The 24,023-nt window shown below is 38.2% G+C and overlaps 1 protein-coding gene and 1 pseudogene across 5 annotated transcripts in view, besides 5 other annotated features; both read right to left on the reverse strand.

The window, feature by feature from the left end:
- The window catches only part of STX7 (syntaxin 7), a 67,606-nt gene extending 65,252 nt beyond the window's left edge, over positions 1-2,354 (reverse strand). For 3 of the 5 annotated variants that reach the window (NR_137169.2, NM_003569.3, NM_001326580.2), the window contains exon 1: positions 1,889-1,998. The gene's annotated coding sequence lies outside the window, so the exon portion shown is untranslated. Of the gene's footprint in view, positions 1-1,408; positions 1,666-1,888; positions 1,999-2,298 lie in introns of those variants that run through there. The other 2 variants (NM_001326579.2, NM_001326578.2) reach the window with 2 other exon arrangements.
- Positions 1,246-1,747: an enhancer, noted in NCBI's record as "H3K27ac hESC enhancer chr6:132833503-132834004 (GRCh37/hg19 assembly coordinates)". NCBI's record gives its function as "activates a minimal SCP1, AML or CMV promoter by ChIP-STARR-seq in primed H9 embryonic stem cells {active_cell/tissue: H9 hESC(primed)}" and the evidence as "EXISTENCE:reporter gene assay evidence [ECO:0000049][PMID:30033119]".
- Positions 1,246-1,954: a biological region, named in NCBI's record as "H3K27ac hESC enhancer GRCh37_chr6:132833503-132834004".
- Positions 1,465-1,954: a silencer, noted in NCBI's record as "silent region_17550". NCBI's record gives its function as "represses an Ori minimal core promoter by ATAC-STARR-seq in GM12878 lymphoblastoid cells {active_cell/tissue: GM12878}" and the evidence as "EXISTENCE:reporter gene assay evidence [ECO:0000049][PMID:35858748]".
- Positions 2,105-2,304: an enhancer, noted in NCBI's record as "active region_25072". NCBI's record gives its function as "activates an Ori minimal core promoter by ATAC-STARR-seq in GM12878 lymphoblastoid cells {active_cell/tissue: GM12878}" and the evidence as "EXISTENCE:reporter gene assay evidence [ECO:0000049][PMID:35858748]".
- Positions 7,692-8,213, reverse strand: RPL21P66 (ribosomal protein L21 pseudogene 66; annotated as a pseudogene).
- Positions 15,965-17,164: an enhancer, noted in NCBI's record as "P300/CBP strongly-dependent group 1 enhancer chr6:132848222-132849421 (GRCh37/hg19 assembly coordinates)". NCBI's record gives its function as "activates an origin of replication core promoter dependent on BRD2, BRD4, P300/CBP, MED14 and CDK7 cofactors, with strong dependence on P300/CBP, by STARR-seq in HCT116 cells {active_cell/tissue: HCT116}" and the evidence as "EXISTENCE:reporter gene assay evidence [ECO:0000049][PMID:35650434]".

Genomic DNA, 24,023 nt, shown 5'->3' on the forward strand with positions numbered 1-24,023 from the left:
GCCTGGCTACATCACAAGTGCTTAACAAACATTTGTAGAATGAATGAATGTACCCACCTCCTAAGAACACACACCCAGCGTGAGGGTAAATATTACCATTTCCAAAACATAAAATTCCAGTGCCTTCTTTCAGATACCGAAGGTCCCAGGCTTCTTGCTGCCTTGGGCCTTTGCTGGGTGCCATTTCCTATTTCTAGAAGGCTCTTCCCATGATCTCCACGTGACTGGCTCCTTCTCCCCAGCAAGGCCTCATCACATGCTAGAGAAACCTTTGTGACCACTCTGATATGAAAGTGAGAACTCACCACTGGTCACTCTTTGTCAATCTAACTTACTGCTTCACAATACTCAAAAGTCGAATTAATCACTGTTTATTATTTATCCCTACACCTCTGGAATACAAACAGGAGCTACTTCTGGAATATAAACAGGAGAGAGATGACCTTGTCATCCTGTGTAATCTACAGTGCCTGGTGCATAGTAAATGCTCAAGGAATGTGAGGGTGCTCTGTCTACATAAGTATCCTCTGCAAAAACTACATTAACTGTATTCTTTGGCCTTAGCTCTTTCATCACTGACCTTTTGTACTACTTGGTTTTAGTTCACAATACCGAGGATTGTTTTTTTCATACTTTCACACATGAAACTTGCAAATTAAATGGAATCACAGCAAACTTCACTCAGACTTACTGTGAATATTTTCTATAATTTACTTTTCAATCATCAGCACTTAAAGTTTGGGGTCATAACCAAAATAAGGATTGATTTTGTTATCAAGAGCAACATAAGTAACATATCTGAGGAAAAATTATGATGTTAATCAGTTAATATGGTATCATATTAACCTCTACAGAAACTGTGAAGTTAAGAGCATAATTCTTAACTAGTCACGAGTCTGAGGCCAACTTCTCAAAGTAGCCTATAAGGCCTGTCCACAACACAAAACACAGTTTAACACCGTTATCAGCCTCTGCCCAGGTGTGCTCAGAGAACCTGCAGAAGAAATGTCCACTTCCAACATTATTAAATAGCACAGCATTTCATAATTACTTTCTTTTCTTCCAGATTCTGGGCAAGTTTTATATATTATATATAATTATAGTCAGAATACAACGATCTGAGGTAAACAAAAATTAACGTATACAGATAAGAGCCAAACAAATGTAAGAAATTTGTGGGAAAAAACACACAGCATTTGATCAGAAATGCAACTTTTTTTCTTTGTCTGAATTTAAAGAAAGTAACTAGAAAACAAGGTGGAGGAAATACTAGAAATATTTTATGTACGTTTAAAGGTTTTTATGTAAATTAATTAAAGGTGTATACTCAAAGAATGTCAAAGTATGTTAAAGTCATCAAGCCAAATTAAAAAAACAATACTACGATCCTCTGAATAAATAAACATACACGGTTCGCCTGCTACAGCCATACATTTTTCAGTTCCTCTATATTCGGGAAGTTTAGTGTGTTTTTCAATCCGTGAGTTGAAAAGAGGAAGAGGTCATTTGGTCGTGTCTGGATTCCTGAGCTGGGCCCCAGCCGGCTCTGGCGCCCTCCCCGGGGTGCGCTCCGCCAGCCGTGCGCCTCCGGAGCTCTGCCCAGGGGACCGCGGCGGGTGCGTGGCTGGGTAGGCCCACCTGACCACAGCCGCGCGCACCCGGAATGCGGAACGCGCCGCGCCCTTGCACCCGGCCGGGGGGCGTGGGGAGCCGCAGGCGCTCCGGGAGCTGGGGCAGTCCCGCCCTTCCTAGCCTCCCGAGTGCCTGCTGCAGAGCGCAGGGCGGCGGCCACCTGACCACGCGCACAAACAAGAAGGCGCAGCAGCCGCAGGGGCACCGCGCCTCCCTGTCGCCCGGCCAGGGAGCCCCCTCCCCAGGGTCCTCTTACCTGGACCTCCACGGCTCCCTCCTACACCTCCGACCGCCGTCACCCACCTACCCCGGAGCCCTCAGCTGCAATTCTCAGCTGATGGGCGGTGGCGTGGGGACGCCCAGTGCGCATGCCCGCAGCACAACTCAGGAAGAAGGCGGGGTTCACCCCTTTTCTATTGGCCCGCGGGGCTGAGTGACAGCGGCCCTCACCGCCCCTCCGGTTCCAAGCTAAGGAATGGGGGTATCAGCAAAATTGCAAGGGAGCTGTTCTTTGAAGCCTGACGTAGAGATGGTGAACGCCTCTTAGCCTGCGTGCAAAAAAGGACAGAATGGAGGACAGTTGTCTTCTTTATCTGGTGAAGCCAGCCTTCTTGCACGCGGGTCTTCACCCCGCCCCATTAGCTCTTGCCTGTCTTGTTTGCTAACCTTTAACTGCAGTAGATCGCGTTGACAGCTCTATCGAAAAATGCAAAGGCGAGTACACAATCCTAGCAGGAACAATGAAGGAATAAGTGAAGAGTCATCTCTGGGTGCTCACTTGTAAACAAGTTTTCCTAGTACATACAAGTCATTCTAAGCATTCCTGAAAAGCAGGGCGTAGTTTTCACAGGGTTTAAAACAAGCAGAGACAGTTCCAATGATAAATATGCAAATATATTGTAATTGTTAGATGAAAAGCATCAATTGCTACAAATGAAAGAAAGCCCTCTCCAAATTAATTAGAAGATAGATTGGCTTAGCCTTTGCCTATATTAAGGCAACACTATTTTCTAAAATGATTACCCGGATAGGTGATATCAAAAGTCCAGACGCACTTAGGTGGAAAAAAACAAAACCCAGGATAGAATTCTGATTGGAACTCACCAACACTAAGTGTGGAATGTTGTCTGCTTAAGAGAGATGGACAGAGAAAGAATAACCCTGAAAACGAGTAACCCACAAGATAGGAAATAAACCAGGAAAAGGTAAACTAGAGAATGAAGGAAAAAAGGAGGGAATTGTCCATGATGTCACCTGTTACACAAAGTTCAAGTAAATAAAGAACTGAAAGTAGTGCATTGTACTTGAGAATTAGGAAGTGGCTGGTGAACGTAGGAAGAAACATTTCAATCATTGAAGGAACACATGAAAGGATCTTACATCCATGTGAGGTTTAGTGCACTTTCCAAATACCCATTCATATTACCTTTGATAGAACTCTGGGCTCCGGGGAGGGAAGGTACAATGCACTACAGAAGAACCTGAGATTAAGTGGCCTCTTCAAGTTACCCTGATAGTTACTGACTATGCTGGGCCCAAAACTTAGCTGTCTGAGCCCTCATCTTGGGCTCATTCCAATTCCTTGTTTTAAAATATGTTATGAGTGGATTCCTTCCAGGTCTTTTGAAAACTTAGAATAAGATTTCATCCTTTGGTATTCAAATGGGAAAAAAAAGAATTATAGTCTAGACAAACTTGCAAAATTTAGAAGTATTAAGATAAATGAATTACTAAGAGTTCCTGACACAGTATTCCATCTGTGAATCTGGCTGCTACCAAGTTAAATTCAGCCAGGTGTCTTGAAAGTGGTAGGGCTTTAAAAGTCTCCTAATTTGATGAGTGATAATGTCACATCTCCCAAAATAAATCATTTCCATGTGCAGAAGTTACCTATGACTGAAAGCTTGTAATTTGGATTTTCAGAAATAGTAATTTGCGAGATTTGGGCCTTCTTGGAGAGATTTTGAAGGAAACCAGAAGTTGTTGAGTGGGGAATGTTATCTGCACACTTGTGGTGTCCTTATTAATATAAATACCATAAATACCTCCTATGTAACATCTCTCATGTAGGATGGAGAACTGTCCACTGCTGTATCTCCAGTGTCTGGGATAGCAATTCCAGGGAATAGAAGGAGATAATTGCTGGTTCATTTAATAGTTACTGAACTAAAAATATTTTTTACATGACCACTATGTGATCTTCTGGGAAAGCCAAAGAAGTAAAAGACGCATAAAGGTAAATAGAGCAAACAGGGACTTATTGGTAAGTGAGAAGGACAAGTTGACTTATGAAGGTTTGTTTTTATTTATAATACAGTGGGAAAACCACAACTGGTTTAAAAAATCTATGCTAGATTAAAAGGAAGCTTAAATTAATACTTAATAAACAAGAGTTAGTTCAGTTGTGCCTTATTGTTAAGCACCTTCCATGTCTCTCTACAGTCTACTTGTTTTCTGTTTAAGATCACACAAGTGCCTAGTCATATATCAAGCACAGAATTGATTTTGCCCTAGCTTTTGAACATGGAGGTAATAAACAGATATCCCGTGGAAATCTTACATGGGCCATTATAGCATGATGACCGGTATATTTGTTTCTAATTTTACCTCCTGATGACTGGTATTTTCGTTTCTAATTTTACCTCCTAAGTGTTGTTCATATGTGCCCTCTTCTCTCTGTCCCTCACGGTTGACATCCTGATCCACTGCAATAGCCTCCTTGTTGGATCTTCTATCTCCAGGTCTTCTCAACTTTATTATTGTCAAAGCCACCACTGAATATTTGAAGCTCTAATCTGAGAACTTTGCTCCAGGCTTCATGCCATTTCCATGATTGCAGCATTCCCTGAACTGTATTTCTTAAGAAAAAAAACCAAAATAATTAGATTGGGGAGAGCTGGGGAATTGTGTGGGTTGAAATAAGGAATCAGGGAATTGGTCTACAAAGAAATGTTTGGGAAACATATTATATTGCATTCTTGAAGATTCACAGAGCATATTTGTAAATTAAAGACGCTGAGAAGTGGTTCAGGAAAGAAACAAGTAAAAATTTCTTTTACCCAGTATTTTATGAGTGTATTTGATGGTGGAACTTGCCTGTAAAACTTTTAAATATGCATAATGGAAAACACTGCTCTCAAAATCAAGTCCAAGCCCCCTGCATATACACAGGGTGACCATATATTTAGTTTGCTAGGACAGCCCTAGTTTATGCTTGTTGTCCTGGCCGCCTGTCTTCTGAGCATGCCCTTTCATTCTCAAACGTGCTTCAGTTCAGATGATGCATCATATGGTCCCTATACATATAAGGACCACATGGTCTGATCCTGCCTTTCCAAGCATCAAAATTTATGCTTGGAATATGTTGGCTTAAATAACTCCTCTTTCTCTGTCTGCTCTCCCCTCCATCCCAGCAGCTAGCTCCCCAGTCACAAACCAGGGGTTTTCTTATTTCTGTGCTTCGCTCACGTAGTTCCCATTAGCTAGAAAACATTTTTTCTTCTCCCCCATGTTTTAAACGATTCTTTATTTTGGAATAATTTTAGATTTATAGAAGAGCTGCAAAGATAGTACAGCACTCCTGTATATACCTCACCCAGGTTCCCCTAATGTTTCCTTAATGTTAACATCTTACATAACCATGGTCCACTTGTCAAAACTAAGAAATCAGCATTGGTATAGCAGTACCAACTAAATTAGCTTGTATTCTCCCTGCTCCAGCTCTAGAATCAGTCATTTTACTATTAAGCACTTCTTCTTTTTATTGGAAAAAGCTATTTAGAAATCAAAGGCCAGGACCACCAGGCACAGTAGCATGGCTCACACCTGTAAACCCAGCACTTTGGAAGGCGAAGGCAGGCAGATCATTTGAGCCCAGAAGTTCGAGGCCAGCCTAGGCAATGGGGCAAAACCCTGTTGTGATGGTTAATACTGAGTGTCAACTTGATTGGATTGAAGGATGCAAAGTATTGATCTTGGGTGTGTCTGTGAAGATGTCGCCAACAGAGATTAACATTTGAGTCAGTGGGCTGGAGAACACAGGCCCACCCTTAATCTGGTGGGCACCATCTAATCAGCTGCCAGCAAATATAAAGCAGGCAGAAAAATGTGAAAAGGCTAGACTAGCCTAGCCTCCCACCCTATATCTTTCTCCCGTGCTGAACGCTTCCTGCCCCTGAGCATCCAAGTTCTTCAGTTTTGGAACTCGGACTGGCTCTCCTTGCTCCTTAGCCTGCAGACAGCCTATGGGACCTTGTGATCATGTGAGTTCATACTTAATAAACTCATATATATATATATATATATATATATATATATATATATATATATATATATGTATTCCATTAATTCTGTTCCACTAGAGAACCTTGGCTATTACACCCATCTCTACAAAAATTAGCTGGGTGTGGTGATGTGCACAGTAGCTATAGTCCCAGCTACTCAGGAGGCTGAGGTGGGAGGATTGCCTGAGCCCAAGAGGTCAAGGCTGCAGTGAGCCAAGATCATGCCACTGCACTGCAGTGTGGACAACAGAGTGAGACCCTGTCCCCCACCCTACCAAAAAGAAGAAAAGAAAAGAAATCAAGATCAAGGCACTAACCTTCTCATTGTTACTAGGGTGTCAGTGCTTCTACGCTCCCCTCAATGGACAGAGCTAGGAAATAAATTTATATATACTAATTCATGTATGTAGGATATTTACTCCAGGCTTCATGCCATCCCCATGTTGGCTGCATGCCCCAAAATATATTTGGTAAAAATAAAAGTGCTTGGACTGGGCAGAGGTGGGGTTTGTGTGAGTTGGGGTAAGGAATCAGGGAATTGATCCATAGAGAAATGTATACAGTATACATTATATGCAGTATAAGCCTTGTATAAAGTATGTCTATAAATTTAATTTTACAAGAAACTGCCAAGTTGTTTTCCAGTTGTTTTACATATCCATAGCTATATCAGATTTTATCTATATATATAAACACGAGTTCATCTAGGCATTCCCAATTCTAATCCAACATTATAGGGGTCATTCTAGCCTTCCCTTGTCCTAATTTTTAGCTTCTTTCGCTAGAAGTGAGAAACCTAGCTTCCATTATCTACCATTTATGTTCTTATTTCTATAATGTAAAAAATTAGGTTGGTGCAAAGGTAATTGTGGTTTTTGCCATTAAACCGCAATTACCTTTGCACCAACCTAATAGCTTCAGAATTGCTAACTCCTACTCTGTGTGAGAAAAAAATCTTTAGTGCAGTGTTTATGTACAATTCTTTTTGTCTTTAGCCTTATAATATTGAGTCAAAACAATGTTTTCTAAAAATCACCAAGGTCGGCTCTTTACCCATCCCCTTCAGTGAAATTAGGTTATGTTGACTTTGCAGTTAAATTCAGTTGTCATAGATCTGCATTTTATCCTATGATCCACAAATATACTGATTGATTTTTTAAATTTGTATAAAGCTCATTGTTTGTGGTATATAGTTCTGTGGATTTTTGACAGATATATAGAGTAATGTATCCATAACTCCAATACCATAGAGAACAGTTCTACCATACTGAAAATTCCCTTTCACAACAACCCTTATTCAACCCATCCCCCTCCTCCCACCCTTGGCAACCACTTATGTTTTCTATCACCAGAGTTTTGCCTTTTCCAGAATGTCCTATAAATTCAATCATACAATATATAACCTTTTGGGTCTGATTTCTTTCACTTAGCAGAATGCATTTAAGATACATCCACATTGTTGTATAAATCTATAGTTTGTTTTTTTTTGTGGCTGAATAATATTCCATTGTTTGGATATAACACAGCTTATTTATCCATTCACCTGTTGGTTGTTTCCAATTTTTGGCAATTATGAATAAAACTTCTATAAATACTTAAATACAGATTTTGGTAAAAATAGAAGTTTTCAATCATTTGAGTGAATATCTAGAAGTAGGTCTGTTGGACTGTATAAGTGTATATTTATTCATTTATTTTTGCTTTAAATATTGCTCCGGGGGAGGGGCCACCACACGTCTACTCAATGAAGAGAAATGTTTTTACAATTTACAGGTATTTTTTTTACACCTATTATGGCATGAATTCATAGGAAATAAGTTCTAGCAGCCTCCTTCTTATTGGTTCTCACACAGTGTGCTTCTCTGGATGGAGCAGGCTGCTGCTTTAATTGAACTCAGGTGACTTTCTCCTTGAGATCCTTTTCTGATCGTTTTCCTTCACGTGTTTGAGGAAGCTGTCTCGGCACTTAGAGTACTTAATATGCTCAATATGCACATCAATTATCTTGGCAAGAATCATGCCGTTAACTTGTTTGTTTACAACAGTGCCAACAGTATGCTGGGTTACATTGTAGACTCTTCCAGTTTTTCCATGGTGATAGTTGTGGGGCATTCATTTTTGAACAGCACCCAACCTCTTGATGACTACGGTATAACCTTTCTTGTAGATTCGCATGTATGTGACCAAAGGAACAACTCCATGTTTTCTAAAAGGCCTAGAGAACATGTATCAGGTGCCTCTCCTCTTTCCCTTTGTGTTAATCATTTTGGCAAATTACTGGAAGATGGCAATTCTGGCTCTACATTTAATTTTACAAAATACTTCCAAATTGTTTTCCAAGGTGGCTGTATCATTTTGCATTCCCATCAGCAATGATTGAGGATTTCTGTTACTCTACTTCTTTGTCACTTTTTGATATTGTTGAATTGAAAAACATTTTTTTTTCATTCTCATGGGTGTGTAGTGGCATGTCATTGTGATTTTATGTATGCTTATTTGAAATCCATCTGTCTTCTTTAGTGAAATGTTAATTCAAATCTTTTGCCTGCTTTTTATTGGGTTGTCTTCCCACTGTTGAGTTTTAAGAATTATTTTTGTATTCTGGTACTTTATCAAATATATCATTTACATGTATTTTCTCCTAGTCTGTAGCTCTGTAGCTTATCTTCTCATTCTCTTCTTTTAAAATTTTTTAAATTTTCTTTCAGAAAAGATCTGGGATCTGGCTATGTTGCCCAGACTAGAATGCAGGGGCTATACATAGGCCTGATTGTTGGACATACAACTTTTTAAACTTCTGGGCTCAAGCAATCCTTTCTTCTCAGCCTCCCAAGTAGCTAGAACTATATGCACATGCCACCACACCCAGCTCATTCTCTTAATGGTGTCTTTCATGGAGAAATAAGTCTTTAATTTTGATAAATTTTAGGTTGCCATATTTTTGTTTTATAAATTATGCCTTTAGTGATTAATTTAAAAGCTCATCACCAAACCCAAAGTTATACAAATTTTTCCTATATTTTATTCTCAAAGGTTTATGGTTTTACATTTCACATACAGGTTTACAATTCATTTTGAGTTAATTTTTGTAGAATGTATCAGGTATCTGTTAAGGTTCATTTCATTTGTTTTTTTGCATATGAATGTCCAATTATTTCAGTACCTTTGTTGAAAAGTCTATCTTTTCTCCATTGAATTGCCTTTGCATTTTTGCCAAAACTCAGTTGACTATGTTTCTGTGAACCTCTCTCTATTTTTCATATTCTCTTCTATTAATCTATGCATATATTTTCTCCGACATCATGCTGTCTTGATTACTGAAGCTCTAGAGTAAGTTTTGAAATTGGATAATATGAGTCCTCTGACTTTTTTGTTTTCCGGAATTGTTTGATTATTTCAGTTTCTTGGCTTTTCTGTAGAAATTTTAGAAGCAGCTAGTCAATATCTACAAAATCATGCTGGAATTTGATTGGGATTGTTTTGACTTTACAGAACACATTGGGAAGAACTGACATCTTAATATTGAGATTTTCAATTCATAAACATAGTATATCTCCACATCTATTTGGATTTTCTTATATTGTTTTTCATCAGTGTTTTGTAACTTACAATATACAGATTCTGCACATATTTTGTGAGTCATACATAATTTATTCATTTGTTTGGGTACTATTATAATGTATTTTTAAATTTTAATTTTTACTTCTTCATTGCTGAAATATGGAAATATTATTGGTTTTTGTGTATCATCCATGTATTCTGTGACCTTACTAAAGGAATGTATTAGTTTTATGAGCTTGTGTATTATTTGGAACTTTCTACATAGACGGTTGTTCTGTGAAAGGGTATATATAAAAAGTGACCCCCAAATGCCAAAGAAGCCAAGAAACCAAAGAAGGAGGCAGACAAATCTAGTTCATTGGTATTGGGTGACTTATTAGAGGGAACTTACAGACAGCAGCATGGTCTTGGGTGGCCACAAGACACATAGTTCTCTGCACTGCAAACCCTGAGACCCAGGGCATGTATCTTGAGGGAAAAGTATATGTACTCTGGAAGGAATGTGCAGGTGGCTATGAGCATCAGGGCCTAAGATTTCTGTAACAGCATCAAGGGAGGTTTTGGAGGAAAACTTACAATAAATAGGTATTTCTAAATAAAAAGTAATACATCAGCAAGACATTTTGGCGGCATTCCTGGACTTGGGGTTAGTCAGAAGTTACGTGGCAGATTGGCATTTAAAATAAAATCACTATTTTCCCCACAAAAAATATAATCTGTGAATATAGTTTTATTTTTTTCTTATTCTGTATGCATTTTATTTGTTTTTCTTGCTCTGTCAAACTAATTAGAACTTCCATTATGACACTGAATGGTACTAACGAGAGAGGACATTTGTGCTGGGTTTCTGCTTAGGAGGAAAGCATTCAGTTTCTCACCACTAAGCAGGATGAACAGCATGAAGTTTGCTGTAGGTTTTTTAAGATTTCCTTTCCTAGGTTAAGGATGTTTTCTCCTACTTCTAGTTTGCTGAGAATTTTAATCATTAATTAATGTTAAGTTTTGTCAAATGCTTTTTCTCCACCTATTGATGACATACTTTTACTTTTTAGTCTGTTAATGTGGTGAATAGATAGTTATTGATTTTCAAATATTGAGCCAGCCTTGCGTTGCTAGGATTAATCCCACTTGGTGGTGATATATTATTCTTATTATATATTGCTGGATTTTATTTGCTAATATATTGTTGATAATGCTTGTATTTGTATTTTTGAGGGCTATTGTCTGGAGTTTTTGCTTGTCTTTTTCTTATAATGTTTTTGCCTGGTTTCAGCATCATGACAATGCTGATCTCATATAAATGGAATGTGTCCCCTCCTTTTCTATTTTCTGAAAAAGATTTTGTAGGATTGGCTTTATTTTGTCCTTAAATATCAGGAGGATTCACCAGTGAAACCATATGGGCCTTACTTTATATGTTTTTAAAGACTTTTAACTATACAGCACATTCATTACATATAGGACCATTCAGTTGATCTATCTCTTCTTGAGTGAGTTTTGGTAGTTTGTTTCTTTTAAGAGGTTTGTCCATTTCATCTAAGTTGTTGAATTTATATGTACAGGGTTGTTTGTAGCATTCCCCATTCTCTCTTTGATGTGTCAGGATCAGTAGTAATATTCTTTCTTCTATTTCTGATACTGTAATTTGCATCTTCTCTCTTTTTATCTCTTAGCCTGGAAACAGGTTTATTAATACTATCGATTTTTTTAAACTTTTGGTTCCATTGATTTTTTTTCTATTATTTTTTGGTTTTCAATTTTACTTAGTTTTGTCCTAATATTTATTTCCTTCCTTCTACTTGCTTTAAGTTTAATTTGCTCCTTTTTTCTCTTGTTTCTTAAGCTGGAAGCTTAAGTTACTGACTTGAGATCTTTCTTCTTTTCTTATGTAAGCATTTACTGCTATATATTTTCATTTAAGTACTGATTTAGCTGCGTCACACACATTTTGATATGTTGGAATTTTTACTTTCATTTCATTCAAACTATTTTTTAAATAACCCTTAAGACACCCTCTTGACCCATGGTGATTTTTAGAAATGTATTGTTTAATTTTCCAAATATTTGAGGTGTTTAAGATAATTTTATTTTATTAATATTTGGTATATTTTTATGGTCAGAAAACATACTTTGTATGATTTATATTCTTTTAAATTTGTTAAGTTTTGTTTGCTGGCCCAGAATATGATCAATGAGTATTTCATGTACACTACAAAAGAAAGAGTAATATTGCTGTTGGGTGGAATATTTTATAAGTGTAAATTAGTTCAAGTTAGTTGGTAGTGTTTGGGGGATTTTGCTGATATTCTCCCTACTTATTTCATCAATTACTAAGAGAGGAGGGTTGAAGTCTCCAACTAGAACTGTAAATTTCTCTACTTTTTCTTTCATATCTTTCAGGATTTTCCCTATGTGTTTTGAAGTTCTGTTGTTATATGTAAACACTTTTAGGATTGTTATGTCTTCCTGATGAATTGACCCCTTTATTATTATATAGTACCCCTCTTTATCTCTAATAATAATCCTTATCTTGACATCTATTTTGTTTGAAGTTATTGTAGCTACTTCAGATTTCATTTGATTCAGTTTGATATGATCTATCTTCATCTTTTTATGTTTGTCCTATCCATGCCTTTACATTACAAGTGAGTATTTTGTAGACAGCAGAGTTGTGTCTTGTTTTTTTATTCTGTTTTAAATTCTTTGTCTTTCAACTAGTATGTATAGATCATTTAAATTTAAGGTTATTGACAATTTGAATTAAAATCTACCATCTCTCTAGCTGTTGTCTGTTCTATTTTTATTTTTCCTCTTTTTCTTTCTTTCCTGGGTTTTATCAGGAATTTTTAAATGATTCTATTTTATCTTCTCTATTGACTTATTATGTGTATTCCTCCTAAAAATTATTTTTACCTCTTTAAAAAATTAACCTAAATCTACTTTCAAATGAGGTATTTGCAAGGACATTATAACAGTATATTCCCAAATCCTTCTTCTCATTTCTTCTGCTATTGTTATACAGAAAACAATATTGTATGGTTTTGTATGTATGTAGAGTATTGTTATACTCTCAAAGTCATTCATCTTTTAGAGTAACTTAAAATAAGAGAAAAAAATTTTATTTTACCTTTACATATTCCATTTCTAAATCTCTTCAGTTCTTTGTGTAGAGCCAGGTCTATGACCTGTATCATATTCCTTCTATCCAAATAATTGTTTTTCTACTTTGAGTGAAAAGGGCAAGAAAAGCAAGAACCTTAAAGAAGATGATTTGTATTTATGGCACAAACATTTACAATGTCTTATTAAAATCATAAACAAAGTGAAAGAGAATGACAAATGAAGAGAAAATGCCTGCAAGCTCTAATACAAATGTTTTACATCCTGTTATAAAGTATAAGATAGACAAACCTCCTGTGGTAGATGTTATTGACACCTCAGCCAGGTTCTCTTTGACTGCCTCAGTAACCAATCCATAGTTGCTGTGAGTAATCAGCTAAGCACCAATCACAGCTACCTTCTACTCTAGAAAATTGCCCTTGGCCCAAGGGAGCTGCCCCACCCAGAGTCAATATGCGCTGACTCCCCCCAACCTCAACCAATGACAAATTGACATCAGTCCCTGGACTTACGTTGGAATTAATTCTGTGGTGCAACTTGTGCTCCAGAGCTTCCCTGTGGGATCCAACCAAAAGTCTCCAGCCAAGACCACAGTCTTTCTCAGAACATGCTGTGGAACCAACTTCTCTTACTGCCCTTCTCCTGTGAGAATTCTTTCCAAATTCTCCATTCTGAGCCCAAGTTTCTGCTTCTAGAGAAACCAAACCAAGACACCACACTAGAAAACTTAGTAAAAGCTCATAATAGACAATTCACAGAAGTCTTAGTCCAAGTGTCTTGAAAAATAGAGCCTAAGGCAAAACTTTACTTACTAAGGTTTTACAGTAATCCTACAGTAGCAAGAGCAAAGTGTTACAACAAGTTTAGCCTAAAGCTGCCTCCTTATGTATTTTAAGTTCAGCCTAAAGGTTTCTCCGTACATCGTGAACTACAAACAAGTGGAGGTACAGATCATAGCCTACACTTGTACCAATCACTGAGTTTTGGCCAAATGTAGCCAACTGTTTGAACCGTGTTCAGTTAAGGCAAATGCGGGGCTGTCACCAATCCAGCTGTTTTTGTGCTTACTCCTATCTTCTGTATGTCACTTTCCTTTTTTCTGTCCATAAATCTTCTTCCTCTATGTGGCTGCACTGGAGTCTCAGAATTTACTCTAGTTTGGGAGGCTGCCCAGTTCATGAATCTTCTTGGCTCAATCAAATTCCTTTAAATTTAATTTGGCTGAAGTTTTTCTTTTATCAGATGGCATCAGAAATTGGATCTAAAGTAGAGCTTCTAACGACCCCCATGAGCACTGCGTGACCAAGGGAGGTACCCGCTGGACCCATTGTGTCTGTTGCTCTCTCAGAGCAGCTAGAGAATATGGTTAAGTTCTCGCTCGGATTCTGAGGCTCCACAGATTTGTGTTTTGAACACTCTGAGTTTCTTTGAGCAAATTTCTGATCCAAGCTGGATTTGGAAGTCGCGACAGACACTGGACTGGGTCCAAGATCAGAATGGATCCCGTAATTAACTGGCTTGGATCCAGTTAGAGGTCTCTCACATCTGACTCAGTCAGAAAGAAACTGGTAGTAAATGGCATAATTGCAGGGGGTGTAAAATTTGGCTTTTGGAAATTTGCAGGGATTTTTGTGTTCTACCCCTTTGTTTCATTTTTCTTGTGCGCTTAAATAGGAAAAGAAATGAGTGGCTAAGTTGGTCAAGGGAACCTGAGAAAGCCCAATATTTCAGGTAAAAATGGGATCTTTAATTTCTGAAGAACTGAATTCCTTCCAGCTTACACATTAGGCCCCGGAAGAAGCAGAGTCTTACAGAAATGGCAAAATCTTACTAAAGATAACTTACAGTAGAACGTTCCAAATAACACTGCACTGAAGTGCATTTGAAAATGTGGGCTCCCAAATTAGTCTCATCTATAGATGCCTGTTGATATGCAGAAGCTTCTAATAAAAGCTCAATTTTTTATTTAAAGACTTTACAAAAGCCAAATAAAAAGGTTAAGCAACTGATTTTTTAAAAACTCAAATCTACTAACCTTTTGGCTTAGTTACTATGTCAATCCAAAGGATATAGACTGCAGCACCAATTGGCTGACTTCGGGTAAGTAGTGGGGTACATTTTGCCTGGAAACCTGTATGGGTTTGGGTTCAAGGCCCAACTTAGGAAAGTCAGAGTCCCTGGTAAGATGTAGGGGGTTAGAGGCTCTCCCCTCAGTAAAATCCCTCTTTGTTAAAAGTGGATTTGGCACTATAGGGTGTTAATGACTATTCTCTCTGGATTAATCTGCCTTGCCCTTTTTGTTAATGACAATGGGTGACCGGATTAGGCAAGGACAGGACCATGGGATATGGGAACTTTTCCCTCCCCAGAGGGGAAACTTGAGAGCTCATGGGACTGGAAGAAAAGATCCCTTTGTGACTGATGAGTGGCTGCCTGAACTTTTGATTCAGCGACGCTGCAATGGGTGGGTATTTCTCTGGCTTCCCCTCAGCTCCTTGCCTTCCCCACCCTGCCGCAGGCAGTGTTTTTCTCCCTTTCTCTCCTTTCTCTTTTCTATCTTTTTTGTTACTTAGGGCAACTGTCTGCTCTTTCATCATTTCCAGAGACCACATGTTGAAACTCCAGGTCAGAAAATCATTCCACCTGACTCTGAGTGGATCAAAGATGACAGACAGGGCCCAACAGGGGGCAAGTTTGAACCTTGCCAGTGTGATATTCAGTGCTAGGCAGAGTGGCTAACGTCTATGTTTTGCCACATGTATTTTACCCTGGCCAGAATGGAAAATATTAATTCGATTCCCCCATGCAATACCTCAGGTGGCATCTTACAAAATTGAGAGGCTTCTGCCTGTGGGTCCATGAAACCAAAAAAGATGATTTTCCTTTGTGTTGCAGCTTGGCCCCCAGGGCTATGGTGCAGCCAGCAGGGTCACTAGGATGACTCAAGGAAAGGGAACCCAGAAACGTGGCATGCCAGCAAAAATGGTAAGGATTTCTTACCAGCCAGACTTCTGGCCTCTCTGTCTCTTTGCAAACCAGTTGTAGGAATGGTAAAAATCACTGTCTCCTCTGCAAAATTTTAATTAATAAGAAAAAAGATTCATGAGAGTAATCTTAAGCTGTAGTGAATCTGGTTTGCTTTGTGCTAAGAATTTGTCTTTCTGTGTTGTTCTGTCATAAAAAGAGGTCCTTAGGATAGAATGTGGGCCTAGGACCCCCATAAACTCACTGTTCAAGCCAGCCCGGCAAACTGGTCAGGTACATGCTTTGCTGCAGGTGCCTGAAACAAAAAAAGCTAGTTGAGATTTCCCTCCTATCTTGTTTTATGTCCTTGGGAGCTTCACCCTATAACCACATGGTGGTAGTTTCTCTTGGTCTCTGCCATCCAGGAAAACAGGAATTTTGGGGTTCATATCATAGTTAGCTCTAAAAATTATCTTAATCAGTTAAAAGCTATTGCAAGCTCAAAAGTGACTGCTTTCAGCTCCTTCTGGGAAGAGCGATGGAAACTGCCCAATGCTTAGCTTGGTGGCTAAGGCTTTATCTTTTCACAGTGGTGGCCAGGGCTCAATTCCTGGCTTAGGGGATGAGCCCTTTCTCGTTCGATATCTCTGTGACTTTTGCCATTTATTGATTCTCTTCCCCTTTATGAACAACTTCTGACTTCCCATCTTGAATTTTCCTTTCTCTGAGGACTTGGGAGGTACCTTTGGTAAGTTCAAAAGCCAGAAATAATTTTTGTTTGTTCTGGCTAGAGTCTAGCAATAAGATATTTGGTTAAAAGTCAGCTTAATTAAAATAGATATTCAAGCTATAGGTGTATTTGAAAGGCCTTCATGGCTTTTTCTATTCTTGGATCTCGTTTTTTTCAGGAAAACATTTTTTTTTCTTTTCAGCCATTTGAATTGTTTTTCTTCATTTGTCTCCTTGCCACTCTTGATGCACACATGAGAGGAACTTCGGAAAGCCTGGGACTCCTTGGGAAAAACAGGAGGTGCCACAGACCCTGTTTTGGGAAAAACCTTTGTTTTCCCCATGAAACCTCAAGAATTAAGGCTAAATATACTTTTGGGGATAGCTAATGTCAGTTATGGGGGAATACATGGCTCTTTGCACATTTGGATCAGAGAAGCGTGCTCTTGGCCACCTAGAAGGTATGGAAATGTCCCCATCCCCCTGCCCCCACTGAGAGATGACTCCCATGGGAGATCGGCTGATTTCCTCTTTTTATGACTCCCATGGGAGATCGGTTGAGTCACTCTTTTTATGACTCCCATGAAAGATCGGTTGAGTCACTCTTTTTATGACTCCCATGGGAGATCGATTGATTCCCTCTTTTTATGACTCCCATGGGAGATCAGTTGATTCCCTCTTTTTTGGGTAGGGGGACGGATCCAGGATCTGGTATAAAAATAAGACCCTTAATTTTGGGAATCTCTTTTGCCCTCAGGATGTGCCTGCTAATTAGGCCCTAGAAACTGATGTCTTCCTAGCCCTGTTTTTCCAAGGATTCCACTCTGAAGCCAGTAATACAATTAAGAAACTTGAAAACTGGCAAATGAAAAGTCTTATCAATACTGGATCCTCCTGTTTTTCTGGGTGTTTATATGTGTTGTGTGTGTGACATTTATAAATAAAAGAGCTCTGATTAATTGGCTTAATAATAATAAGCACTTAAATCAATTTTTTTTTCAGAAAAATAAAAACGGTAATGCCTTTCACTTTACGTGACTGTAGTAAGCTTTGGGAAATAAAGAGTTTTAAATACTATTGGTAAAATAAAGATAGTTGGTCTAAATTAGGCAGGTCAGACATTAGGTTTGCTAAATTCTTTAAGGTAATAAACTGCTTCTTTAACTTTTGAAAATTGTTCAACGTAACTGCTTTGGAGCCATTAGATTCCAGGTAAGGTCTGGAGACGTGGAGTTACTCAAGCCCCTGGCTATGCTAAAAAAAAAGTCAGACTTTATCTGTCTGGGCCCTAGGCTTCACACCTAGTACATAATTAAAATCCACTTAGTAGGTTTTTCACCAAAAATAAAAATCACTAAGAGTTAACATTGTAACATGTAAATAAGACTACTGAAAAAACAGTTTTACATGCAAGCTGTGTGAGTAAGGTGAAATGTGCTTTTGATAAAAGATCATAAGAAAACATGGGAATGTGTGTGTTTTCTTTTTGTTGTTCGTTTTTTGTTTGCCTAGATTAAAGGGCTAATGGACTGTTTTAATTTAGAAAGGATAAAGCTGAAGGTTTGAGCAAGTTGTGGAAGGTTTGTGAAAAATTAATCTTGTAAAAGAAATTCTGTGTGTGAACATATTGGCTAAATTTAAAGGGGTATTATACAGGTTTTCCATAAACTGAACATTGGAATAAAAGCACAACAAGGTTCTCTTAGAGCACTGATCTCTTCAACAAAAATTTGTAAAGGGTTATTAAAGGTTTATGAAAATCTCACCTTATGGTCAAACTGATTAAAATAGGATAGATTTGTCTATAAGATGTTATTAAAAATTGGGGTTGACATTAATAGTACACTAATGCATGGGTGAAATTTGGCTTTCTCTCTTGAGTAAGACTTTCATAGAATATTAAAGACAAATGAAAGATTTTTGTTTGCCTTTTGAATAAACCACAGGAAAAAGAAGGAAAAGAAAAGAGACAGATTGTTTGGAAAGCTAAGTCTTCCCTCTATCAATGAGTAAAGGTTTTTGCCTTTTTTTTTTTTTTTTTGAGACGGCGTCTCGCTCTGTCGCCCAGGCTGGAGTGCAGTGGGGCGAACTCTGCTCACTGCAAACTCTGCCTCCTGGGTTCACGCCATTCTCCTGCCTCAGCCTCCCGAGTAGCTGGGACTACAGGCGCCTGCCATCATGCCCGGCTAATTTTTTTGTATTTTTTTTAGTAGAGACAGGGTTTCACCTTGTTAGCCAGGATGGTCTCGATCTCCTGACCTCGTGATCCGCCCGTCTTGGCCTTCCAAAGCGCTGGGATTACAGACGCGAGCGACGGCGCCCGGCCAGGTTTTTGCCTTTTTAAAGATTCCAGGTAATAATAGTGACCTGTGGTGACCTGGAATTCTATTTTGTAATAGCAAGTGTTTTAAACTTTTAACGTATCTGACAGGCTTCCTACAATCAAATTTCGGCTTCAAAATGGTCTTTTCTGACCTCTAACTTTGGGATGCAACAGAGAGCCCCTGAAGCATCCCAAAAGAGAGGTAAACAGGATTATTTGACATGTTGAGTTACATGGGAAGCATTGTCAAAATAAAAAAATATGTTTAACCCTCTTTAGGTTATATTTTAGTGAATGTTATTAATATATGTTCCAAGTTGAATGGAATGTCTAAAATTCTAAGATGTCCAAGTATATGCTGTCAATCATAATTATGGTTAAGTTATTGCAGACCACAGAAATAACCAAATTTCTTTGTCAATTTTGTCTTTATCACTAGTCATTTCCGCAGTTAATTGCTTAATGCTGATGCAGTTTCTGGAAACTTCGCAAGCATGGAAAAAAATCCGAGAATACGGTGTCTTTTAGGAGGTTCATGAAATGATGGAAAGGACCCTCAAAAGCACCTTTGAAAACAGGTTTGTTTTCTTTCTTTCTTTTTTTTTTTTTCGAGACTGAGACTCGCTCTGTTGCCCAGGCTCGAGCGCAGTGGCATGATCTCAGCTCACTGCAACCTCCACCTCCTGGGTTCTGCAGGGAAGGGAAAGAGTAGCGTAGAGAGTAGCCATACGTTAAAGTATTTGGCATGGGGATAATTTTAAAACAGATGTTTCCGTTTGGGGCATTTACCTGTTTAACTTTGGCGTCCCCTCATTTGATCAACCTAGTATTGTTCAGATTGACCGCTAGGGGGCAGCAGAGTATGGGAAAATAAGAGGGCCATAAACTAGACTGAAGCTGTTATCTTAAAAATAGTTCAGCAATAAAGAAATGCCCAGAAATAATGAGTAATATATCACAATCCCCTTTATATTTTTACCTACAACTTTAAAGATCTTATTTTCAATCATCATAATTTATAATATTATTAAGTAAATTATTTCTAAATTATGAATAAACTTTCCTCAAAAATTAGTATTTGAAGACACTTTTAAAAAAAGGTTAAGAAAACTATCATGACTTAATATTTCTTCTGATACTGATCAAGAAGTGGAAATTTTTTTTAAATTGTTGAAAAAAACCATTATATCATTTGAAGTCTGTAAGAATATTAATTAGATTTTGGTCTAGAAAGAATCTAATAATAGAAATTTCAGAACCATTACTATATGATATGGTTTGGCTGTATCCCCACCCAAATCTCGTCTTGAATTGTAGCTCCCATAATCCCCGTGTGTCATGGGAGGTACCTGGTGGGATATAATCGAATCATGGGGGGCAGGACTTTCCTGTGCTGTTCTCATGACAGTCAATAAGTCTCACGAGATCTGATGGTTTTATAAAGAGAAGTTCCCCTGCACACGGTCTCTCTTGCCTGCTGCCATGTAACACATCCCTTTGCTCTTTCTTCATCTTCCACTATGATTGTGAGGCCTCCCCAGCCATGTGGAACTGTGAGTCCGTTAAACTTTTTTCTTTTATAAATTAACCAGTCTTGGGTATGTCTTTATTAGCAGCATGAGAACAGAGTAATGCATTATACCTAACTTCTTCCATAAGTCATAAAGTAAAATACAGCATCTTGAACAATTTTGTTCAGGCCATAGTGCAGGATTGTAATTATTTGACTTGCATGTGACATGAGAAAAGCAATTTCATTACTTTACAATGATGTTTGGTAGATAACTGACACACAGAAGATTCATAATAAATAACCATTTCCTTAACTCTTAGTTCCCTGGGTGATTAATTGTGACATATAAGATTATGGCCCCCAAATAAATCTCTCTAGTCTTTTCAGCTCTACACAGATCTATCCATTTATTGGACAGTCCTCAATCTGATTGTTCAAAGGCATCTCAACATCAAAACGTGCCAACTGGAAATCTCCTCCTCTTCCATCCACTACCCAAGCTTTTTCCTCTACCAGCTTATATAGGCCAGAATGTAAGAAATGATCCTGGAATTTTCGTTTTTTCTCATCCACAACATCAAATCCATTTCCAGATTGTTTTAGGCAGAAACTTAATTTATTATAAAGGTTTCAGGAAGACCCCATAATTTACAGGAAGACATAAGAACCCAAGACCATGGGAACCCACCTGTTGTATCAGCATGACCTAGATGTGAGACATGGAGTCAAAAGATAAAATTTTGAAGCTTTAAGGTTTGATTGCCCCACTGGATTTTGGACTTGCATGGGGCTTATAGCCCCTTTGTTTTTACCAATTGCTCCCATTTGAAATGGGTGTATTTATCCAATGTCTGTACCCTCATTGTCTGTACCCTCATTGTAACTAGGAAGTAACTACCTTGCTTTCAATTTTACAGGCGCATAGGCAGAAGGGACTTGCCTTGTCTCAGATGAGGCTTTGGACTGTGGACTATTGAGTTAATGCTGAATAAGTTAAGACTTTAGGGGACTGTTGGGAAGGCATGATTGTTTTTGAAATGTGAGGACATAAGATTTGGGAGGGGCCAAGGTGAAATGATATGGTTTGGCTGTGTCCCCACCCAAATTTCACCTTGAATTGTAATTTCCACAATTCCCATGTGTCGTGGAAGGGAACTGGTAGGAGATTATTGAATTATGGGGACAGTTTCCACCATACTGTTCTTGTGGTAGTGAGTAAGTCTCACGAGATCTAATGGTTTTATAAGGAGTTTTCCCTTTCACTTGGCTCTCGTTCTCTCTTGCCTGCCACCATGTAAGACATGCCTTTCACCTTCTGCCATGATTGTGAGGCCTCCCCAGCCATGTGGAACTGTGAGCCCATTAAATCTCTTTTTCTTTATAAATTACCCAGTCTTGGATATGTTTTTATCAGCAGCATGAAAATGACTAATACACTTGCACATGTACCCTCTGAATCTAAAATAAAAGTTAAAATTATATATATAGAAAAAGAGTGACATGTTGCTGAGAATTTCTAGCACTGAGGAAAGTAAAAATGGGTTTAAAGGAGCTGTTAATCATTATTTCTTGTCAATGAAGACTGGTGGTATTTCTGTGTCTGTGCCCTTCCTAGTTAATCAATTATATCTGTAGAAAACATTTCTGTTGCATTGATGAGAATTTATTTCAAGATTTTTTTCTTAGGCAATTAGGCACAAATGTAACAGACTGTAGCAAGTCCTATAACTGTATTTTTTCACCAGACCAGTGTGCTTGGATTCTGTCACATCCTATTTTTCTTTGTGTTAAAGGATTCGTGAAGATGATGATTATAGGAAAGAAGTATTTTTCGTAATTATTCTTGCTTGTTAAACAGTCTCAGAGAGAGGGCTGGGTTGGGGTGGGGACAGTGATAAAGATAGGCAGAAATAAGTATGTATGTGTATGTTTAATGGATAGCCCTGCTTAAAGAACTGTATTTTTAAAAATTTTGATGACTAGAAGTATTTGGCAACAGGTAGAAAACACTTGTTTAAAATTTACAGTTAATTTCCCATCTTAGAAAACAGAGCATCAATACAGCTTTGGAGCACAGACTCATCTTCATTTTTGCAGGGAAATCAATAGAATAGCAAAATGACCATTCAAATATATTGCAATTTTACATTCTTTGTTATTCTCAAAGAAATCATGAAGTTACCAGAAATACAAATATCTACATTAAGTCTTACACTTTGGCAGTGAAATTGTAGCATTATATTGAAATGAGACTGCGTCTGAAAGCTTTTCACGTTGGGAGTAATGGTGTTGGGGAAAGCAGAGGTTAATTGAGGCAGAGAACCTGAACCACAGTTTGTAGAGTTTTATTTGGGTGTGGTGGTGGGGGTTTGCGAGTGGCTTGCACAAGATGATGAATGGACAGGATATACTAAATACTCAGTTTTTGAATATTGCTTTTTGTAAAAGGAAGTTTTTATCTGGAAATAATTTTAAAGCTACAGAAATTTGTGCAAGATTGTGCAAAGCACATTTATATTCCCTTTACCTAGATTCACCTATTTGAACTTTGCTCCATTTGCTCTAACATTTGTTCTCTCTCTCCATCTTTATCCCTGTGTATGTACTGTGGCAGGAAGTCAGGGACCCTGAATGGAGAGACTGGCTGGAGCTGTGGCAGAGGAACATAAATTGTGAAGATTTCATTTTAATATGGACATATATCAGTTCCCAAAATTAATACTTTTATAATTTCTTATGCCTGTCTTTACTTCAATCTCTGAACATAAATTGTGAAGATTTCATTTTAATATGGACATTTATCAGTTCCCAAAATTAATACTTTTATAATTTTTTATGCCTGTCTTATTTTAATCTCTTAATCCTGTTATCTTCATAAGCTGAGGATGTACGTTACCTCAGGACCACTGGGATGTATCTAACTGTACAAATTGATTGTAAAACATGTGAGTTTGAACAATATGAAATCAGTGCTCCTTGAAAAAGAACAGAATAACAGTGATTTTTAGGGAACAAGGGAAGACAACCATAAGGTCTGACTGCCTGTGGGGTCGGGCAAAAAGAGCCATATTTTTCTTCTTGCAGAAAGCCTATAAACAGATGTGCAAGTAGAAGAGATATCACTAAATTCTTTTCCTGGCAAGGAATATTAATATTAAGACTCTAGGAAAAGAATTGCATTCCTGTGGGGAGGTCTATAAATGGCTGCTCTGGGAGGGTCTGTCTTATGCGGTTGAGATAAGGACTGAAATATGCCCTGGTCTCCTGCAGTACCCTCAGGCTTACTAGGGTGGGGAAAAATCCCATCCTGGTGAATTTGAGGTCAGACTGGTTCTCTGCTCTTGAACCCTGTTTTCTGTTAAGATGTTTATCAAGACGATATGTGCACCACTGAACATAGACCCTTATCAGGAGTTTCTGATTTTGCCCTGGTCCTGTTTCCTCAAAAGCATGTGATCTTTGTTCTCCTTTTTGTCCTTTGAAGCATGTGATCTTTGTGACCTCTCCCTGTTTGTACACCCCCTCCCCTTTTGAAGTTGTTAATAAAAACCTGCTGGTTTTGTGGCTCAGAGGGGCATCATGGTCCTACCAATATGTGATGTCACCCCCAGAGGCCCAGCTGTAAAATTCCTCTCTTTGTACTCTTTCTCTTTATTTCTCAGCTGGCCAACACTTATGAAAAATAGAAAGAACCTACGTTGAAATATTGGGGGCAGATTCCCCCGATAATATACAGTTTTTTTGGAGTCATCTGAGAGTAAGTTGAGGCCTAAATATTTCAGCAATTTAACATTTTTTTGTTTATACAAGGACATAAAAATCAAGCAATCAGCAATTTAACATTGATAAAATATCTTTACCAAGTACCACCCATATTCTAATTTTGTCAGTTGACCTA

The sequence above is a fragment of the Homo sapiens genome, chromosome 6 (genome assembly GCF_000001405.40).
Source record: "Homo sapiens chromosome 6, GRCh38.p14 Primary Assembly".
NCBI classification, from domain to species: Eukaryota; Metazoa; Chordata; class Mammalia; order Primates; family Hominidae; genus Homo; species Homo sapiens.